Source organism: Homo sapiens, chromosome 2 (assembly GCF_000001405.40).
Source record: "Homo sapiens chromosome 2, GRCh38.p14 Primary Assembly".
Classification (NCBI taxonomy): Eukaryota; Metazoa; Chordata; class Mammalia; order Primates; family Hominidae; genus Homo; species Homo sapiens.
This window is the reverse complement of record NC_000002.12, coordinates 73,213,900-73,233,760: the sequence shown is the minus strand read 5'-3', so window position 1 is coordinate 73,233,760 and position 19,861 is coordinate 73,213,900. Positions and strand designations below refer to the sequence as shown.

The 19,861-nt window shown below is 51.8% G+C and overlaps 2 protein-coding genes across 3 annotated transcripts, besides 4 other annotated features; one reads left to right on the top strand and one right to left on the bottom strand.

Annotated features, from left to right (window-relative positions):
• Positions 266 to 475: a silencer, noted in NCBI's record as "silent region_11637". NCBI's record gives its function as "represses an Ori minimal core promoter by ATAC-STARR-seq in GM12878 lymphoblastoid cells {active_cell/tissue: GM12878}" and the evidence as "EXISTENCE:reporter gene assay evidence [ECO:0000049][PMID:35858748]".
• Positions 477 to 5,755, top strand: PRADC1 (protease associated domain containing 1). Of its 2 annotated transcripts, none has more exons than NR_144358.1 (5): positions 477 to 667; positions 3,548 to 3,648; positions 4,191 to 4,300; positions 4,821 to 4,966; positions 5,187 to 5,755. NR_144358.1 is itself a non-coding variant. In NM_032319.3 (5 exons), the coding sequence occupies exons 1-5, from the start codon at positions 601 to 603 to the stop codon at positions 5,305 to 5,307; spliced, it is 567 nt and encodes a 188-aa protein (NP_115695.1). In that variant the 5' UTR covers positions 522 to 600; the 3' UTR covers positions 5,308 to 5,751. The 2 variants fall into 2 exon arrangements, 1 of the variants encoding a protein (NP_115695.1); NM_032319.3 differs by having other exon boundaries at positions 522 to 667; positions 4,799 to 4,966; positions 5,187 to 5,751.
• Positions 5,756 to 6,539: 784 nt separating this feature from the next.
• On the bottom strand, positions 6,540 to 19,516 carry SMYD5 (SMYD family member 5). Its single transcript, NM_006062.3, has 13 exons — positions 19,399 to 19,516; positions 14,792 to 14,900; positions 13,571 to 13,710; positions 12,979 to 13,100; positions 12,527 to 12,596; positions 11,831 to 11,935; positions 10,944 to 11,006; positions 10,655 to 10,725; positions 10,229 to 10,335; positions 9,758 to 9,814; positions 8,801 to 8,895; positions 8,060 to 8,130; positions 6,540 to 7,965 (listed from the first exon to the last, which is right to left on the bottom strand). The coding sequence occupies exons 1-13, from the start codon at positions 19,492 to 19,494 to the stop codon at positions 7,815 to 7,817; spliced, it is 1,257 nt and encodes a 418-aa protein (NP_006053.2). The 5' UTR covers positions 19,495 to 19,516; the 3' UTR covers positions 6,540 to 7,814.
• Positions 19,339 to 19,578: an enhancer, noted in NCBI's record as "active region_16026". NCBI's record gives its function as "activates an Ori minimal core promoter by ATAC-STARR-seq in GM12878 lymphoblastoid cells {active_cell/tissue: GM12878}" and the evidence as "EXISTENCE:reporter gene assay evidence [ECO:0000049][PMID:35858748]".
• Positions 19,339 to 19,660: a biological region, named in NCBI's record as "Sharpr-MPRA regulatory region 2018".
• Positions 19,366 to 19,660: an enhancer, noted in NCBI's record as "tiled region #2018; HepG2 Activating DNase matched - State 1:Tss, and K562 Activating DNase unmatched - State 1:Tss". NCBI's record gives its function as "activates a minimal TATA promoter and a strong SV40 promoter by Sharpr-MPRA in HepG2 and K562 cells {active_cell/tissue: HepG2 | K562}" and the evidence as "EXISTENCE:reporter gene assay evidence [ECO:0000049][PMID:27701403]".

The following is a 19,861-nucleotide window of genomic DNA, read 5'->3' as shown; positions in this document are numbered from 1 at the left end:
CCCCAGCGCCTATCCACGGTGAGCGCGCAAGCGTTGGTGGCACTGGGCGGAAGACCCCCTGGCGCAAGACGAGTGCCTTCCCGTGAAGGCGTGGGGAGGAGGGAAGCGCAGCTGGGAGGAGGGAAGCGCAGCTGGGAGAAGGCTAATCGTCGTCAATCGAGGCGGCCTTGGAGTGGACAGGACCGAGACCGCAAGGGTTAACGGCCTCGACTATCGACAGCTGAAGCAAGTCCGGCTACGGGCACACCTCCAGTGCTTGTCCTCCCTGGCCCGCCCACCGCCAGCGAGGACCCGGAGAGTATGCTGGGGCGGGGCTGAGGCGAAGGCCGGTTGTAGCTGTTAAGAGTTTAAGCCAATCAGCCCCCGGCTCCACTTCTCTCGACCAATAGGAAGTAGGCTAAGGCGCAGAGGCGGAAAGTGTGGCTACATGAGCAGGCGTCAGAGCCAATCAGCCTTGAGCCTCGTTCCCGTCGTCCAGCCCGCGGCGAGAGCGGGTATGTGGGCGGGAGGCCGGAGCAGCTGTCAGGCTGAAGTCCTGCGAGCGACGCGCGGCGGGGCGGCGAGAGGAAACGCGGCGCCGGGCCGGGCCCGGCCCTGGAGATGGTCCCCGGCGCCGCGGGCTGGTGTTGTCTCGTGCTCTGGCTCCCCGCGTGCGTCGCGGCCCACGGTGAGCGGCAACGGGTGGGACTGCGTTGCAGGGCGGGGCTGGCCGTCCAGCTTGCGCGCGTCTCGGGTTGGGGGCCAAGGGTCACCTTGGGGACCCTGCGAGTTCAGAGCAGGACAGGTCTGGGAGCGGGCGGCCGGAATAAGTGGGTGGTGGTCCAAGGACATAAAGTGGGCGCAGCCTGAGGCTGAAGCTCTGACTCCTCACCTTCCCACGACAAAGCAGATCTCCCCACTCGCCCCTCCCCGCCCACTAGCGCCGACCCAGGTGACTTAGGGTGCGACCAGAAGGGACAGCTAAGGAAGGATACTACAGGCTGGAGATATGTATGTGAGCATTCACATGTACACAGGAGCACACATTCCTACACGTGGGCACACACGCACAAACCGTTTACACCTACACAAGCACATAAATGTATACATCTATGCACATAAGTGAGCACATACGTATACCCACAACTTACACAAATAAGCACACACAAAGGCAAGCAAGGGTTGGGGAGGAGGGAGTGAGTTTGACGCTAGTCCAGGAAGGCTTTCTGGGGGTGTATTTGTATCCGAGAGGGAGTCCCCACTCCCAGGACTGTATAGCCCAGTGCCAAGCCATGGGAGCTCTAACTGATGGCTGTGATTTGGGCAGTAAACAAAGACAGCTAAAGCCTTAATGCCATCCTTGGTACACAGTAGTGACTTGGTAGTTTGTTGATAGACTAACAGACTTGTGACAGCAGTTTTCTTTTTTTCTTTTTTTTTTTTTTGAGACGGAGTCTTGCTCTGTCGCCCAGGTTGCAGTGCAGTGGCCCGATCTCGGCTCACTGCAAGCTCCGCCTCCCGGGTTCACGCCATTCTCCTGCCTCAGCCTCCCAAGTAGCTGGGACTACAGGCGCCCACCACCACGCCCGGCTAATTTTTTTGTATTTTTAGTAGAGACGGGGGTTTCACCGTGTTAGCCAGGATGGTCTCGATCTCCTGACCTCGTGATCTGCCCGCCTCGGCCTCCCAAAGTGCTGGGATTACAGGCGTGAGCCACCGCGCCCGCCCATGACAGCAGTTTTTATCTTTCAACATTCCGCAGTCTCTCTGGGTTAAGGAAACCAGGGACTCAAGTCCAGGTACAACATTAAACTTTGGTGCTGAGGAGAAGATCCCATGCCCCAGAAAAATCTAGTGGTCTGGAAATTCTCTTCATCGGTGCTGTGGAGCTAGATATAGTTGTTCACCCATTCAGGAAAGTTTATAGGGCTATCCCTATATTGTAGCCACTGTGCAAGACACTGGTGACTCTTCACTGAATGAAGTTACAAAGTGGAAGAGGCAGATATTTAAAAATTATGAATCCAGGGCAGGTGCGGTGGCTCACGCCTGTAATCCCAGGACTTTGGTAAGCCAAGGTGGGAGGATCACAAGCCCTGGCAACAAGGCGAGACCCCATTCCTATTTAAAAAATGAAAAAAAAAAATCAGCCTGGTCAACATGGCGAAACCCTCTCTACTAAAAAATACAAAAAAAAATTAGCCAGGCATGGTGGCGCACGCCTGTAGTCCCAGCTATTTGGGAGGCTGAGGCATGAGAATCGCTTGAGCCTGGGAGGTGGAGGTTGCTGTGAGGCGAGATGGCGCCACTGCACTCCAGCCTGGGTGATAAAGTGAGACCCTGTCTCAAAAAAAAGAAAAAGAGGCCGGGCGCGGTGGCTCACGCCTGTAATCCCAGCACTTTGGAAGGCCCAGGCGGGTGGATCACGAGGTCAGGAGATAGAGACCATCCTGGCTAACACGGTGAAACCCCGTCTCTACTAAAAATACAAAAAATTCTCCGGGCGTGGTGGCGGGCGCCTGTAGTCCCAGCTACTCCGGAGGCTGAGGCAGGAGAATGGCGTGAACCCGGGAGGCGGAGCTTGCAGCGAGCCTAGATCGCAACACTGCACTCCAGCCTGGGTGACAGAGCGAGACTCCGTCTCAAAAAAAGAAAAAAAGAAAAGTTATGAAAGCTGTATAATTACAAATTATGTTGAAAGTCCCCATTTATTAAAAAGTACATTTGAATGGGTATGGGAGGGCAATCATGAGGCAGAAGCTTTCTCTGAGGAAGTGACATTTAAGGTGTGACCTGAAGGATGACTAGGAAAGAGTCAGGTAAAGGGGTGGAAGTAGGGTGGCGTGGGAGTAGGGGGCCTTCCAGGCTCAGGGAACAGCCTGCAGAAAGACCCAGAGAAGTGAAGACACTGAAAGGCCAGTGTAGCTTGAACACAGGATGGAGGAGATGAGGTTGGAAGAGTGGCCAGGGGCCACAGCAAACAGGGTCTTGTAGGCCACAGTTTAAAAAGAGTTTAAATTTTAAATGCAAAGGGCAGTTATTGAAACCCTAGGTATGGTGATGTGCTCATAATTGCTAAGATGTTTTCGATTTCTGGTTGTTGCTTGGGGAGCAAGAATGGAGGCAGGGAGGCCAGGTAAGAAGCTGAGCTGTCAGGACAAGAGATGATAGTGACTAGACTTAAGGGGATGGCAGTGGGACCAGAAAGTCAACTTTTAAATTTTAGTGAGAATTGCTTTGTACGCAGGCCACTACATCTCTACCCTGAAACTCCCAGGTCTTCAGAGCAAAAATACTAACCCTGGAGCTCTCAGTTTTCCTGGCTTACTGCGTAAGCAGCAGCAGCAGCTGATATAAGCCTCTGGGGTTAATGACTCTGCATCAACTCTATCCTCCCCAGGACAGAGGCCATCTAGCCCCCAACCCTGCCACTAGTGGACCCCGTTGGCTGAAGCCAGGACCCTGAGCCCAGACTATAGCCAGCCCAGCTGAAGACACAGGGTCTGGGATCTGAACCTGAACCAGCTTGTTCCTGGGAGGCTTCTTACCTGTACTCTTTATCCTTCAGGCTTCCGTATCCATGATTATTTGTACTTTCAAGTGCTGAGTCCTGGGGACATTCGATACATCTTCACAGCCACACCTGCCAAGGACTTTGGTGGTATCTTTGTAAGTTAAGGGAGGCCCCTGATCTCTGATCCTCAACCTCCCCCTTCCCCTCACTGAGCTGCAGTGACCCTCTCATCCCACCTGAGTGCTGGGACAGGGAAGGGAGCAGAATCAGCTCTGCCTTCCATGAGCTGCAGCACAGAAAGGAAGCTCTTCCAGCTACTCCCCTGAGTATAATATAAACCTAGGCACCATGGAGGGACAAGTTGTCTTTTTAGGGGACATGAAGTGAAAAGCCAAGAGCACCAGCTTCCTCTGCCAGCTCTACCTGTGAACTATGTGACTTAAGGCACATCACTTCCTCTCTCTGGATCTACAACCAAGTCCCCTGCCTATCTCATAGAAGGGTAGGGTGGTGTAGGACAACCAGATAGGCCTTTGCGAGAATTAAGTAAAAATGTTTAAGTGTCTGGCGATACAGAAACCACTCCATGTTTCCTTCACACTTTATAAGGTGCCAATAAGATGGGATTGTCAGCCCAGTCCTAAAGCAGGTGTGTCTCATTACACTCTCACCTGTCCAAATGTTAAATGTTTTTCAGCACACAAGGTATGAGCAGATTCACCTTGTCCCCGCTGAACCTCCAGAGGCCTGCGGGGAACTCAGCAACGGTTTCTTCATCCAGGACCAGATTGCTCTGGTGGAGAGGGGGTAAGGAGTGGGCAGGCAGGACACGAGGAGTGGGCAGGCATACGGCAGATTCTGAGATTATTGGTAGTAGTGCTTTGAAAGAGCTGTTTTTGAAAATTTCATCTTTTTAAGCGTCTTTAAGAAATGTCTAGCCTGGGCAACATGGAGAAACCCTGTCTGTACAAAAAATACAAAAATTAGCTGGGCATGGTGGTGCACACCTGTGGTCCCAGCTACTCGAGGCTGAGGTGAGAGGATTGCTTGACCGCATGTTAAGGCTGCAGTGAGCCGAGATCACGTCACTGCACTCCAGCCTGGGCAACAGAGCAAAACCCAGTCTCCAAAAAAAAAGAAAAAGGAAAAAGAAATGTATTTAAATTATCCATGCTTTTAGCTATTTACTTATGAGCCTTTATAACAGATTCTTCATAGTCTGCCTTCTATACTCCCAGGGTGATGGTCTGGGGAAGGGGGAGCTAGGACCTGTCTTTCCTTTGGTCTTATCACCACCTCTTCCAGGGGCTGCTCCTTCCTCTCCAAGACTCGGGTGGTCCAGGAGCACGGCGGGCGGGCGGTGATCATCTCTGACAACGCAGTTGACAATGACAGCTTCTACGTGGAGATGATCCAGGACAGTACCCAGCGCACAGCTGACATCCCCGCCCTCTTCCTGCTCGGCCGAGACGGGTGAGGGCTCCTTGCCTCTGGCTTTATCAGCACCAGGCTGGGCGCCATGACTGGGTCAGGGGTAATCACCAGTCCCTTCTTGCAGGCCTCAACTTGGGGTGCTTCAGTTAGAGGGCAAAAAAAGATCTCGGGCTTTGGAACTCCCAGATTGATGGGGACAGTGGGGCATGATGGGGTACCAAGAAAGTGACCGTCACCACCTCTCTTCATGCCCTCCCAGCTACATGATCCGCCGCTCTCTGGAACAGCATGGGCTGCCATGGGCCATCATTTCCATCCCAGTCAATGTCACCAGCATCCCCACCTTTGAGCTGCTGCAACCGCCCTGGACCTTCTGGTAGAAGAGTTTGTCCCACATTCCAGCCATAAGTGACTCTGAGCTGGGAAGGGGAAACCCAGGAATTTTGCTACTTGGAATTTGGAGATAGCATCTGGGGACAAGTGGAGCCAGGTAGAGGAAAAGGGTTTGGGCGTTGCTAGGCTGAAAGGGAAGCCACACCACTGGCCTTCCCTTCCCCAGGGCCCCCAAGGGTGTCTCATGCTACAAGAAGAGGCAAGAGACAGGCCCCAGGGCTTCTGGCTAGAACCCGAAACAAAAGGAGCTGAAGGCAGGTGGCCTGAGAGCCATCTGTGACCTGTCACACTCACCTGGCTCCAGCCTCCCCTACCCAGGGTCTCTGCACAGTGACCTTCACAGCAGTTGTTGGAGTGGTTTAAAGAGCTGGTGTTTGGGGACTCAATAAACCCTCACTGACTTTTTAGCAATAAAGCTTCTCATCAGGGTTGCAACTGTGTCCTAGAATAAGAGCACACGGGTGGGCAGGACCTTCAAACTCACTCGTATCGTCCCATACTGTCGTTCTGAGGAAAGGAAACACCCACAGAGGACAGTGACTGGCCTAGGTCATTTGGGACCAGTGCTCAGACTGCTAGTCTTAGATCCCAGCACAGCTTCCTGCTAGGAGCCAAGGAAGCCCTGGGAAGCCAGAGTTCAGCCCCTCAGGAGAAGACTCATCTTAGAGCCTGGAACTGGGGGTCCAAACTGGACCTCAGGGCTAGGCATGGTGGCCCATGCCTGTAATCCCAGCACTTTGGGAGGCCGAGGTGGGAGGATCAGTTGAGGCCAAGAATTCAAGACCAGCCTTGGCAACAACATAGCAAGATCCCATCTCTACAGAAAAATTAAAAATTAGCTGGGTGTGGTGGTGTGAGCCTATAGTCCCAGCTACTCAGGAGGCGGAGGTGGGAGGATCACTTGGGCCCAGAAGTTCAAGGCTGTAGTGAGCTATGATTGCATTGCTGCATGCCAGCCTGGGTGACAAGGTGAGACCCTGTCTCAAAATTTAAAAACCACCCAAACTGGACCTCAGAGGACCCTTGCTCTTGGGCATTAGAACATTTGCATAGCAGGGTGTAAATAACAGTAGAGGTGAGCCCAAGCTGGTGAGCCTGGAGCTCCCATCTCCTACCATTACCTGGTCTAATTGGTATTCCTTTGCACCCACCTGTGCCTGCTGCACGCCCGGGGCAGCCTGCCCAGCCACTTGCCACAAAGCATTCCTGCAGAGGCCTCTCACCACTCACATTTTATTGAGAACAGTGGGCAGGGGGGCTGGGAGAGGAGTGCTGACCGTTGTGAAGGAGTAAGAACCCAATGGGTAAGGGGCCAGACAGGTTTCACCTGGCTCCATGGTCCAGGAAAGGGCCTGTGGGGTGGGCACCTGCCCTCTCTGGGATCCCTCAGCAGGAGAATGCAGCAGGCTCCTCCAGGAAAGGGAGGCATTGGGAGTGATGGGTTGTAATTCCCATAGCATCCAACCCAAGAGTGAGAGGGGTGGTGCTAATCTGGGGGTAGGAGGGGACAAGACAGGGCTACTCTCGAAGTATCTAGCCCAGCTCCTCGAGGTTTCTGGAAGACTTCAATGTTAGTCTGTGGAGACCCTAAAGATGGAGATTGAGGCCAGGAGAGCCCCTCACTGACCCATTTTAACTGGCCCCAGGAATACCAGAGCATCCTAATCTAAGGAGCGCAGGCCTGTCAAGCCCCAGGTCTCAGCCATGCTGCTGAGTGCTCATTGGGAAGCAGGTGTGAGAAAGGGTGATGACCCACTATGTGTCCCTCCTGAGGAAGGCAGAGGCCTTTTCCATACTCCATAAGGCCAGCCACTGTGCCAGGTCCTGAGAGGCAAGGCACGAGTCTGGGGGAGGGGTTAATCTCCACTTCCCCAGATGTCCAAATGGGGGTGTGGGTGGGGGAAGTAATCCCCCTGGTCCAGCATTCCCAGGAGACAGCCTCAGGGAAGGGGCTCAGGATGCCCAGATCCTCCTGCCCGCCTCTGCTTGCTGGGCCAGTGGTCAAGCAGTTGCCTTACCAGCCACAGCTGTGGTGGGGGGAGGTGAGGACGCCTCACCACCTCCCATCTCTGCTTCAATGAACTCGGTCTTTCTTTTACCCCTCAAAAGAAATCAACAGCAAGTTGAGAGGGGAGAAGCCTCAGGTGAAGGGGTGAGTATGGGCCGTGGGGCCGAGGGGAAGAAACACTGTTAGGCCCTGGCCCTGATTCCAGCCCCTCAAACCCTAGAGTGGAGGAACCTCAAGGGGAGGCCAGTTGTGAAAGGCTCAGTGCCAGTGCAGAGTCTGAGCCAACTCAGCAGCAGTGTCCAGGGCATGAGGTCTGGTGGGGGTTGGGGCCAGAGATCCAGGCTCTCTCCTACCCTCTAGCAGAGAGGGCTGGAATGGGGAAAGCAGGCAATGGGAGTGGGAAGTTCCCTCCAAGCCACTTCTCTGGGGGAAGAGCCCCCTTTTCTGGCAGGGTCTAGGGCAGGGCCCTTTCTGGGCAGGGCAACATCACACATCAGTCATCTCATCCCCCAGCTCTGCATCTTCTGGCTCTCCTTCCTCCTCCTCCTCCTCTTCCTCTTCCTCTTCTGAGGTCACATTGGGTTCATCAGCCTCTGCCAGGCATTTGGGACAGGAACAGACAAATAGATAGTTCTCCCTGCAGCGGTGGGGGATGGTGAGGGGGAAAAGTCAGGGAGCTATGGGTAGAGGACCCCAGAGCCCAGCTGCACAACCATGTCCCCAGCTGGCACCTGAGGATCTTGTGGCGGCTGTGGCGGCTGCGCTCCCGCTGACAGCAGTCCAAGTAGCTGATACAAATTTCCTGTAGGGCAGAGAAGTGCAGTCTGATGGTCTGTGCTCTTTTAAATGGCATAAGGACCTCCCCAACAGCTACCCTATCTCCAACCACTGCCCCATCTCTAGGAGCCAAGTTTGCGTTGCCCTTCAGTGAAGGGGCTGGCTGCCCTCATCCAGTTCCCAGTGCCTTCAGTAGGCAGGCCACTATAAGGCTCCAACAGCCTGTGCCTGAGACAGAGGAGACTGGTTGGCCTCAGGCCGTGGTGAAAGCCAGTCAATGGCCAAGGTCTGCAGCTGGGATCAGAGGTCTTGGTATGATGCTACTTGCCCTCAAGAAGATTCAACCAGGCACTGTGCCTGCACTAACAGACAAGACCCTAAACCCACAAAGAGCTATCTCCTGCTTTCTTAGAAATTACATATCTGCATTTGACCAAAAGATAGCTGGGGACAAGAATCTGAGCACATAGGTGTCCCTCAAACACTGTCCTGAGGCTTTCTGGAGTCATATTTTGAAAAAGCGAGGTAGGGTTAGAACCTAACCATGAGCTGAAAGACTCAGACCCTAAGGTATGTGGGGATTCCACCCAACAGCCTGAACTTCAAGGTGCTCTAGCCACTGCTGCTCCTGATCCCTGCAGAGAACTTCCAAGGCCTACTGCCCACCCATCCCGACGGTTCCTGGTCCCCCTCACCTCTCCTGGCTTAATATCCTCCAGAGCAGTGACATGCAAAAGGAAGTTGTTTTCTGGAAAGGAGGTCTCTGCATTGGGCACACAACTGTGGTTGCCTGGATCATAAGAGGCAGGTAATGAGGATTATTGACTAAAAAAAATAATAGCCTCAATTCTGCAGAGCACTGGGTCCTTTCTTGCTCGTTCATCCCTGCCAAGGCTGAGCACGTTTTGGAACCCAAGTTTCTGGACTCTGCATCCAGTGTTCTTTCCTGAAGACCATATAGCACAGCACAAATGAACTCCACAGCACTCCCACTCCAACTCGCTGTGACTGGCCAACTTCATTCTCAGTCGTGTTCCCACTGTCTCGCAAAGGGAGGGACAGGGCTCTGAAGGAATGCCCACCCCAGACCACTTAACTCAGTTCTGCCTGCTATTGGACATCTAGTAACAGCTGACACAGGCCCTCTGAGAATCCAGTTTGGGAGGGTAGAGTGGCCCTGGAGCCTGGGAGGAGGAGTTTGCAGTGAGGAAACCAGGGGGTGGGAAGCTGAGGTCTGGAAAAGGCAGTTGTCTGAGCTGAATCTGCCCCTTCTCATCAGGTGCTGATGAGACTCGCCCTGTAGCCTGGGCTCCCAGTACTCCCAAATCTCACAAGGCAGTGACGGTGCAAAGCCCATGCATCCCTTTGCAAGAATCAGAGCTCTATGCCTGCCTTAGTACAGGGCCTGGCCTATTGTAAGGTTTTATATATAAGCAGGTATTATAGCACAAACAGTTGGATGAACAAATGAAAAAAATGATAGAACAAAAAGGCCCAGGGGAATTCCTGTGGGAGCTCAGACCTAATGGGGCTCCCAGACTCAACCCTACCAGCCTAGAAAGGGCCAACTGAGAAAGATAAACTGTGGCTGCAAGGCCACCTGGCAAAGGCAGAAGCGCCTGGGACCATCCCTCCTCAACGCCATGACTCACAGCAGCTCTGAAGCACAAAGAGGCCAGATCCTTCACAGTTAAGAAACTCTCCAGTTGCTGTAAGACAGTAATACACACACATTATTCTACCCATTTTTAAAGGCAGGAAAAGGAAACGAGGCTTACACGGACAGGCACTGTCTCCACTGTCCTGCAACCCCACCACACTAAGGCATCAGTCCCTACCATCTTACCTAAACTTGCCTCTCCGAGACAGAAGCCTTGCTTTTCTGTCTACAAGACATCCTATTTATCCAGCACCCCCCTCCTCCCAGCATCAAGCCTCTGGATACATCTTGGGGCTGTTTCTCACCTGTGTGCCCTGTGGACAGATCTGAAGCTCCCCACAGGCACAAAGGGATTACCTTCCCCCACCATTAATTCAGAGCACCCTGGGGAAAGACTTTGTGTCCACCATCTGACTGGGGGGGTCGCCATGGCTGGGTGAGGCCAAGGCCCTATCTCACCAACCTGCCTCGATGTCCTTGTATAGCTGGTCAATGAAGGCGTCAAGCTGCTCACGGTCCTGAGGCTTCAACTCCAGAGTGTCACAGGCATGGACCCACTGGCTTAGGGAGCTGGGGGGTCCCAGGCAGCCCATGGTTGGGGAGGCAGAAGCCCAGGTCACAGGGCTCTCCACCTCCAGGTAAGTTAAGCCCAGGAAGAAGGGTCTCCCATCCCCACCCCACTTCATTCTCCAGGTGGGGGCCCATCTTCCCCAACAGAGGCTCCCCAAAACAGATTCCAATGCCTCATTCTGATTCCCACCACTGTGTCCAGTTCAGTGATCTGTCCAGAGTCCCACCCTACCCCATCCCAGTCTTGAAAGGAACTGTGGCTACCTTCCTCAGTTTCCCACCCCTGAGAGTAACTTCAATAGCTCTGGAACATTCTAACCTGGTCCCGATTCCTTGGCCATTGGTCCCAACAAGAGCAAAGAGAGACCGGAATCCATCTGGAGTGAACCACTGTGGGGGGAAAAAAGAGATGAGTGCTCATTACAGCCACTGACTTTTCTTCCAATTGGACTCTCTGTTTGGGAAGCCTTCTGTGAGTCAGGCTCATCTGAACTCCAGAAGACCAAGTCGGCTTTGGCTCAGCTGTCCCAGTAGGAGATGATGACCTGATTGCTCCTGGAGAGCTGGAGTAACAAGGAGGCCACTGGTCCCACCCTCTCCTCACTCACCTGGCTGACTGCTTCCTCATAGAGGGCCTCTGTGAAGAGTCTCCGCAGAAGTTCCAGTTGGCCCTGGATTAGAGGAAGCAGGGAGAGACTTGTATCCCTGGGGATTTCCCATTAGCACCCAGGCAGGGCCCAGGCGACTAGGGGAGGGAAGGAAAAAGGGCCAGCTCTGTAGACTGAGCTTTCCGTAGGGGCAAAGGAAGGCCACAGAGTCTACCTCCAAAGAGCTTTGGCAGTCTGCCGGCCTGTTCCAACCCGGGGTGGCAAACCCAAATTTCTCTCCATTTTCCAGCACTTGTACCAGCAAGGCTGAGGCAGCCTGAAATGTCTATCCACACCACCACCATCAAATCTCCCTTGACCTGGCCTCCAGACCAGCTGGGCTCTCCCACTCCCTTCCTATAAAAGTTCAGTGCAAGAGGGCCCACCCCAGATGCAAACCTTGTACACACCTGCCTCCACCCTCAGGCAGCTCCTGCAGGGAAGTCTGCTGTCCTCAGTGAGGACCCATACTCTTTGATTGGGAACGGGTTCTCAGGACATGGGCAGTTTCACACTGCTCTCTGATTCTGCGGCCCCATTCTACCTGATTTGCCCACTGCTATCCTATGACGAGTCCTGCCTTCTAACACCAGTTAGGGAGCACTTTCAGGGCAAGGCATCTGACATGCCCTTCCTCTGTTGTCACCCCACTTCCCAACTGTAGGTCCACATGAGGTCATGAAGTAAACAGTGGCAGGAATGTAACTCCTCTGAATCGATTTCTGGACCCAAGTTCTAACTCCTTCCTGTAGCTCAGAAGTGATCAAATGTGGTGCTCCCCACAGCTGGCCAGAGACATCCTAGGATATTTGGGGAGGGAAGGAGACAGGCCACGGGAGAATAATAACCTTGAATTTGTCTCCCAGAAGTTTATGGACAATTTCCTCCTCTTCATTGGCTGTTTTGTTACAAAACTGGGAAAAGAGTCTGATCCAACGGTCCTTGTCCTTCGCCTGCAGTGAACAAACATACTTAAGGGTCACAGATACCCACCTTCTCACTGGCACTCCCGCCCACTTGGGAAATACCACTACACAGGAACTTATAGGGGCCCTTCCTCTGCCTGAGGCTTCCTCCCAATGCTGCCCACCCACAACCATCTCCCCAGTTGTAGCCAAGATAGCCAATTCAACAACACTTGGAAAACAGGAGAAAGAGGCTGAGGAACAATATTAATAGAAGGGTGGTTAGAGTGGCTTCTCTCGCTTTATGTAAGACATAATCCTGAAAAAGCGGTGCTTATAAATCAAATGCATGAATTGCTACTGCACAAGGCATCTTCTATATCAGAAACTACAGGCATACTATCACACTGGTCTTTAAGTTACAAAAAAAAAAAAAAAAAAGACTACAGGCAAAACGAGCTCTCCACTCCCTATGCCTTCAGAGTGCATTCTGAAGGTTTTACATAGCAAGGAGCTCTCCTTTGGGAAGGCCAGGAAGAACTCTGCATCCAAGCTAGGGCTTTGAGGTGAGGAAAAGACTGAGACCAAGGGTTGAATGGGGCCAAAGTCAGCTTCCCCGAGAGGGTTGGGTGGGCTCACCTGCTTCACTGTGGCCACCATCCTAGCCATCAACATGATGCTTGCAGTCTCAGGTGGGTAGTGAATACTCCTGGGGAAAGAGAAAAAAGATTGGCCTAGAAATTCTCTCCCTAGTAGCTGAGCTCAGGGAAGCCGAGTCTGACTGGTACAGAGAAAACTTCCTACCAATTCCATCAATTACCAGGAAAGTCATAGACAAGGACTTAGGCAAGACTTTGCATCCCTATTGGCTTAATGGGGCTCTTTCTGGGAGAGCGTTAAATGCTAAGGACAGAAAGACTGACAGCCCAGATTAAAAGCAGGGGATAGGGTTATGTGACTTCTGTTTAACCCTAAGAAAGGAAGAAAAATCCGGGGAATTGGAACTTAAGAAAGACGGCAACACCTGATGAGCCCAGGCAGGCAACCAGGGAGGAAAGGATAAAGGAAAGAAGAGAGGAAAAGAAACCTACCTCCATGCCTCCTGAAGCTTATTGAGAGGATGCAAGGGGTCATCCTGGGAGGGGCCTGGGCACAGGACCTGGTGGTATTGCTCAGTGGCTGCCAACCGACATTCTGCACTGCAGTACATCACCTGTTAGGTGGGATAGAGGTCAGTACCCAAGGATCTGGCCCTAGAATCACCTCCTCTAACTGCATTCCTTCCACAAATAGCCCCTGAGCTGTAGCTCAGATGTATCATGAGAAGAGAAAACATAGGGTGCTCTGGGGATATGTGAAAGGCACACCTAGGCTTGCAAAACCACAGAAAGGGAAGAGAACTTTTCAGGTAGAGGGGAGAGCCCCTGCCAGGTCCCCAGGAAGAAAGCAAGCTCCCACCAAGCCCATTTTCCAGCTCCCACCAAGCCCATTTTCCAGACAATGTAACTGTGCCAGGGAGGATGAAACTGGAACAATAACCAAGCCTTTTCAACATCTTATCCTACATTGTAGTTTTCAAGGGCCATGACCAGGTCTGTCGCTGCTCCTGTCTCCCCACTGAGGACTCCAGCTAAGGCCTCCCTCACCCACCCCCTTCCAGGTACACTCCCCAAGAATACTCACTTGGCAATGGGGACAGTTCTGGTGGAGGTCTTTGCGCACAGTGCACAGCTCTGGGTGAGGCAGAACCTGGCCTGGTTTCCCGGTCAGCCTCTGGGCATTCTCCTCTGCCTTCTCTAGTGCCCTAAGGCAGTGGTCACAGGCTGACGGTGAGAGCCAGACACAACAATATCTTGAGAGCAGAGGCCACATCTATCCCTTTCACAGCCCTACAGAGCAGCTGCTATGTGCCAGGCACCATTCTAGTGTTTCATAAAGGTTTGGAAAGTGAGTAAATGAATAATTACATGCATGGATGAATGGATGAATGAATTTATTTCATGTGCATCCCAAGGCAGATGATCCCCTCCTCCCTCTCAAGGACCTCCTGGCCCTTATTGTCTAACTTTCCTTGCTTCTTAATCAGACTCACTCTGTGGGGCTCCCCTACCACCCCCAAACTGGGCTTTTCCCATACTCTGGGGCCAACTGACCCTCCTTTCATTGTGTCTCTCTAGCTTAAGAAATGTGTGGGTTGGGCACGGTGGCTCAAGCCTGTAATCCCAGCACTTTGGGAGGCCAAGGCAAGTGGAGCACCTGAGGTTAGGAGTTCAAGACCAGCCTAGCCAACATGTTGAAACCCCGTTTCTACTAAAAATGCAAAAATTAGCTGGACATGGTTGTGTGTGCCTGTAATCCCAGCTACTCGGGAGGCTGAGGCAGGAGGATTGCTTGAACCTAGGAGGCAGAGGTTGCAGAGAGCCGAGATTGCACCACTGCACTTTAGCCTGGGTGACAAGAGCGAAACTCCGTCCCCCTCCCCCAGACCCCAAAAAAAGAAAAGTGTGAAAAAAGCATGTGGCCAGCAAAGCTAAGGGCATCGTACTTGTGCTCACCCCTAACTCAGCCTTCTTTGAACAAGGGCCATGTAGCCTCCTCTTGGTGGAGGACTCCACTTTGGCACTGGGCCTTCAGCATGATGTCCCTCATACCATGGAATCAAACTCGCCTAAGTCCTGCTGTGCTCCCTCAGGGAGCACATCTGAAGAGCCTCCCACCACAGGAATAAGCCTCAAACACCTGAGACTGGACAGAGGCATGGTTCTCAGGCACAGTCCTTCAATGGAAGACAGCATTTCCTCCCAACACCCAGAGTTCCAGAGACGTCAGCCAGTAGGGATGTATGCAGCTCACTTCCATGCACAAAGACGACTGGGCCATGAGGAGTAGGAGAGATGTACTCACCTCGGTAGCGATAAAGTGCATTCCAGAGAAACTGTGCAGCCACCAGGGGCCGTTCTACGAAGATGGTCTCCCCCTTCCGGATGAGCTGTGTGGCAAACAGCCCCTTTCCCTGAGAGGGCAGAGGGATAGGATGGCCATAAAAAGGAACAGAAGACATAGCTCCGAGAGCTTCCAGGAGGCTGTCCAGCCTCACTCCCACATGCCTCACTCTTAGGAGAGGCCTCTGCCTCTGTGAGTTCATGGAGAGTGGTTAGCACCCTCCATAACTTTCTCCTCTGGAAATACAGCTCTGACCTATTTTCAGTTGCATCCCTTTCAGCCCATTCAGAGCAGAAGGCCTGGAACAGGGAGGCAGCCACCATGGCAGCCATCTCAGATTACTGAGAGAATTTTTCTCAGTATGGCCAGAGCAGGGCCAAGGCTTATAGCAGGCTGGGGCCTCCAGTACCAGGAGCTGATAATGGCAGGGCACTCATCTCTGAGTCAGCCACATGCCACTCCAGGATCCTGGCAGTGGTGTTGCTACACAGGGTTGCAGAGAAATCCTACACCATGGGACAGGGAAGCCTTGTTTGGGGGAGAATGTGCCTTCTTCCTTGGTCAGCTGAATACCCACAGCACCTAGCACAGTGCCTGGCATCCAACAAGTCCTTGGTGGTTGCACTGAAAGAAAGGAGCTAATACTAGTACCAGTCCTAACATTAACTTGCTGTGAACCTTTGAGCCAACTGCTTCACTTTACATCTGTTTCCCGTTTGAAAAGTGAGCATTATAATAATACCTACAAGGTAGTTTCCAGGGTGTAATGATATAGCACAGATGAATGGACCTTATGAGCTCTAGCTTCTTCCTACTCAATGAGGGTACAGGGACTGGCAACATGGGCATCACCTAGGACTCTGTCAGAAATGCAGACTCTTGGGCCCCACCCCAGACCTGCTGAATCAGAATCTGCATCGTAACAAGATGCCCAGGTGATTCATATGCATGTTAGTTTGAGAAGCACTGGTCTAAAACACTATATACATCATGTAAAGGATGAAGAATGAGAAAAAAACCTCTGAACTGCCATCTCTCAAATGTGCAAAAGGACTCAGCAGATGGCTTCAGAACCCAGGCAGTTACTGGCCTTATTGGGCACATACTCCCACTACTCAAAGAAGACGTGTGGAGCCCTGTCAACACTGAGCTGCCACAACAAAAGGAGAGGAAAAAAATGCTTGACACTGAAGCAAAATGACCTGTCAGTGTTGCCTCCCAGGTAGCTCCCTGCCTCCTTAGAAGGCCAGATACGGTTGCCTCTCAAATTCAGAGCGAAAAATCTCAACCCTGTGAACAACTCTGGAAGCTCTATCTCACAGTAGAGTGGGACAGGTGAAACAAAACCAGGAGGCAAAGCCCTGGGCATACCCTTGCCTGGTTTCCTGGAAGCCCTTCTCCCCATGCCTTGTATCCCATCCCAATCTAGCAAATTGAAAACTTGGCCTTCCTCTATGGGACACGACAATATGAACAGGGACTCACATTATTTCTGACAATCTCAAATTTCAATATTGGACAAATATAGATCTCCCTCTCTTTGTGAAGGACTAAATGCAGAAAATATTTCGTAATCAAAACAAAGAGAAAAGAATCAGAGTTGTTCCTTTATAAAGTCATTCCCAAAACTGATGACCATATTTCAAGGAAAACAGAGCTCTAACTCATAATATTAAGGTTGGGCCGGGCGCAGTGGCTCATGCTTGTAATCCCAGCACTTTGGGAGGCTAAGGCAGACAGATCACGAGGTCAGGAGTTCAAGACCAGCCTGACCAATATGGTGAAACCCTGTCTCTACTAAAAATACAAAAATTAGCTGGACATGGTGGTGTTCACCTGTAGTCCCAGCTACTCGGAAGGCTGAGGCAGGAGAATCGCTTGAACCCAGGAGGCGGAGGTTGCAGTGAGCCAAGATTGTACTACTGCACTATAGCCTGGGCAACAGAGTAAGACTCCATCTCAAAAAAAAAAAGAAGGTTGGAGAGCACTGAACCTGAATGGAAAGGGGACAAACCATACATACTTCCAATTTGAAAAAAAAGTTTTAAGAAAAAATCGTGCAGGCCGGGTATGGTGGCTCACACTGTAAATCTAGCACTTTGGGAAGCAAGGATGAAGGATCGCTTGAGCCCAGGAGTTTGAGACCAGCCTGGGCAACACAGCAAGACCCCATCTCTATAAAAAAAAATAGTGCAAAACTCTTAAGACTATGTAATAGATTTTTGTTGTTGTTGTTGAGATGGAGTCTCCCTCTGTCGCCCAGGCTGGAGTGCAGTAGCACGACCTCAGCTCACTGCAACTTCTGCCTCCTGGGTTCAAGCAATTCTCGTGCCTGGCCCTCAGGTAGCTGGGATTACAGGTGTGCACCACCACGCCCGACTAATTTTTGTATTTTTAGTACAGATGGGGTTTCACCATGTTGGTCAGGCTGGTCTCGAACTCCTGACATCAAGTTCAAGTGATCCGCCCCTCTCGGCCTCCCAAAGTGCTGGGATTACAGGTGTGAGCCACCACGCCAGGCCTAATTTTTGTATTTTTAGTAGAGACAGGGTTTCACCATGTTGGCCAGACTGGTCTTGAACTCCTGATCTCAAGTGATCAGCCCACCTTGGCCTCCGAAAGCGCTGGAATTAAAGGAATGAGCCACCATGCCCGGGCAGACTATGTAGTAGATTTTAAAATCTTGATTAAAAGAAGAAAGCCCACAATAAGCCATGCTGCTATCCGGCTAGTGCACCAGTATGGTAATCCAGCTGGCTTCCACTGGACCTGGTGAGGTTTCTGTTCTGACTGGTCATGTCTCTGGCATAATAGTTGATAAATTTTTGAAAAGTCATTCCTATCCACAGAAGCAATAAACAGTAGTCAAAAACTACTCCCACTTGAGGCCCCTGGTCTATATAGTTTCATGACCCAATTCTCTCAAACCTTTAAAGAATAAATAATGCTCATGCTATTTAAACAATGTAATGACAGAAAGCATTTCTGTTTTACCAAAAAAAAACAAGTATAACCCTCATGTGGCAACTTGAGGAAAATAACACAGAGAAAAAAATCACAAACCAATCTCATTTGAATAGAGAAGCAAAAAGCCCAGGATAATCCATGCTGTTACCAAGTCCAGGCAGGTATGTTATTTTCTCCAGCAGCAGATCAGATGTAGGCAAGGAGAGGGCAATCAGCTAGGGCCTTGATAGAAGCCTGGGACAGGAAAACTGTGCAAGGAGAGTGGCTGAAGTGAAGAAGCGAGAGGGAAGAAATGAAGAAAGGAAGGGGCTGAGAGACTGGGGGCTAATGAAGAAAAAGGTGAAGAATATCACTGCAAACCAAGAATGATGGAACTGAGAGGCCTTCAAACTGTGGCCACCCAGGAGCACTAGAGACTATGGAGATGGAGATAGGAACAGGTAAGGAGACCAGGGATGTAGGGAAGCTGATTTACCAGGGAAGGAGCAAACTGCTCCAGATACCTCTAGAGCAGAAAGGGGGCACGGAAGGTTGAGCTGGAAAACTAGATCAATATGATGACGCTGAGAGCAGACAACAGACAACTAGAGGTCTTACGTCTTGGGCAAGAACCAACCATACACACAGCCACTACACAGGATAAATTATTCAACCTCACTAGTAACCAAAGAAACGTAAATGAGAACAAATATAATTTTACACATATCAATAGGCAAAGATAACTAGGAAAAAAATACTGCTGGACAAAACAAGAGGATGTTTGCACAGAAAATGAGCTCTAAGACTTTTGACTCTGGGGATGAAAAATACCATACAACAATAAAGGGTCCATTAATAAGGGGTTGGTTGAGTGAACTGTGACCCTCTCACGGAAGAAGCTACTACTCAGCTCTTAAAACTTAATATGTAGAAATAGGCTTGATATTGAAAGATTCACTGCTGCATCAAAAAGCAGTTTCTAAAAATGTAATTTTAACGTACTCATCTTTGCACAAGTATAGAAGTATGGGTGATTTTTGTATTTTCTTTCCTTACATGCATTTTGTATTTTTTTCTACAATGAACTTTTGGAACACAATAAAAACGACAAAATCACGTCACCTTCCTGCTAAAAACTCTCCCAATGCCCCCACGGCCTTTGGACTCTGGTCCAAATTCCTCAGCACTCCAAGGACCCTCGTGAAGGATCTTGGCCTCTCTCCTCATCCCCTCACCCAAATCTCACACATGAAGTTCGTGAGGACTCCCTCTTTTACACCTCAGTTCTCTCTGCCCGGCACATCCCCGCCCACCGTTCCAGGGATACAGCAGCAAAGCCCCCTAGCCCCGCCCCGAGCAGCCACAGAAGGGCCTCCCGCGGGCTGGCCGAATTCCGCTGGGAGGAAATGCGCACGGAGACTCCGGAGGCCCGGGTCTATCGCGTGACCGCGCCACGAGCCTGCGCGCAGGGACAGACTGGGAGCCCCCGGGCCGCGAGCAGGGGCAGGGCCGTAGCGTCCGAGCGGCACAGAAGCCTCTGGGCTCCGGGCATGGAGTCCGGCCGGGCTGTCTCCATGGCCGGACTGGGGAGAGGCTCCCGGCAGGACCCGCCCCGACCTCACCTTGGCGCTGCTCACGAAACGGACTTCCACGGAGACCCGCGCGCGGCCCGCCACGCCCACGCAGAAGGAGAACACGTCGCACATGGAGGCCGCCATCTTGGGCGCGCCTCCGCCTTATGACCCTTAACCCCGCCTCGACCTGAGAGGCCACACCCCCTTCTGGTCCCGCCCCCGGCGAGAGTGCCCCTGAGGCTGCGAGGTTTTGGGCTCCACCAAGTCTGAATTTAGGTTCCGTGGTTTGTTGACGGGAGTGTAACTGGGCCTGCCTTTGTGCTTTTACATCGGTGCCTTTTTGTGTCTGTACCTCTGTATCAGAGTCTGTGTGCGCGTACAGTTTTGATGTGTGTATCTTTGAGTCCGTTGCATGTTTTGTTGTGGTTTTTTTTTTTTGAGATAGTCTCACTCTGTCGCCCAGGCTGGTGTGCAGTGGCGCGATCTCGGCTCAGTGCAACCTCTGCCTCCC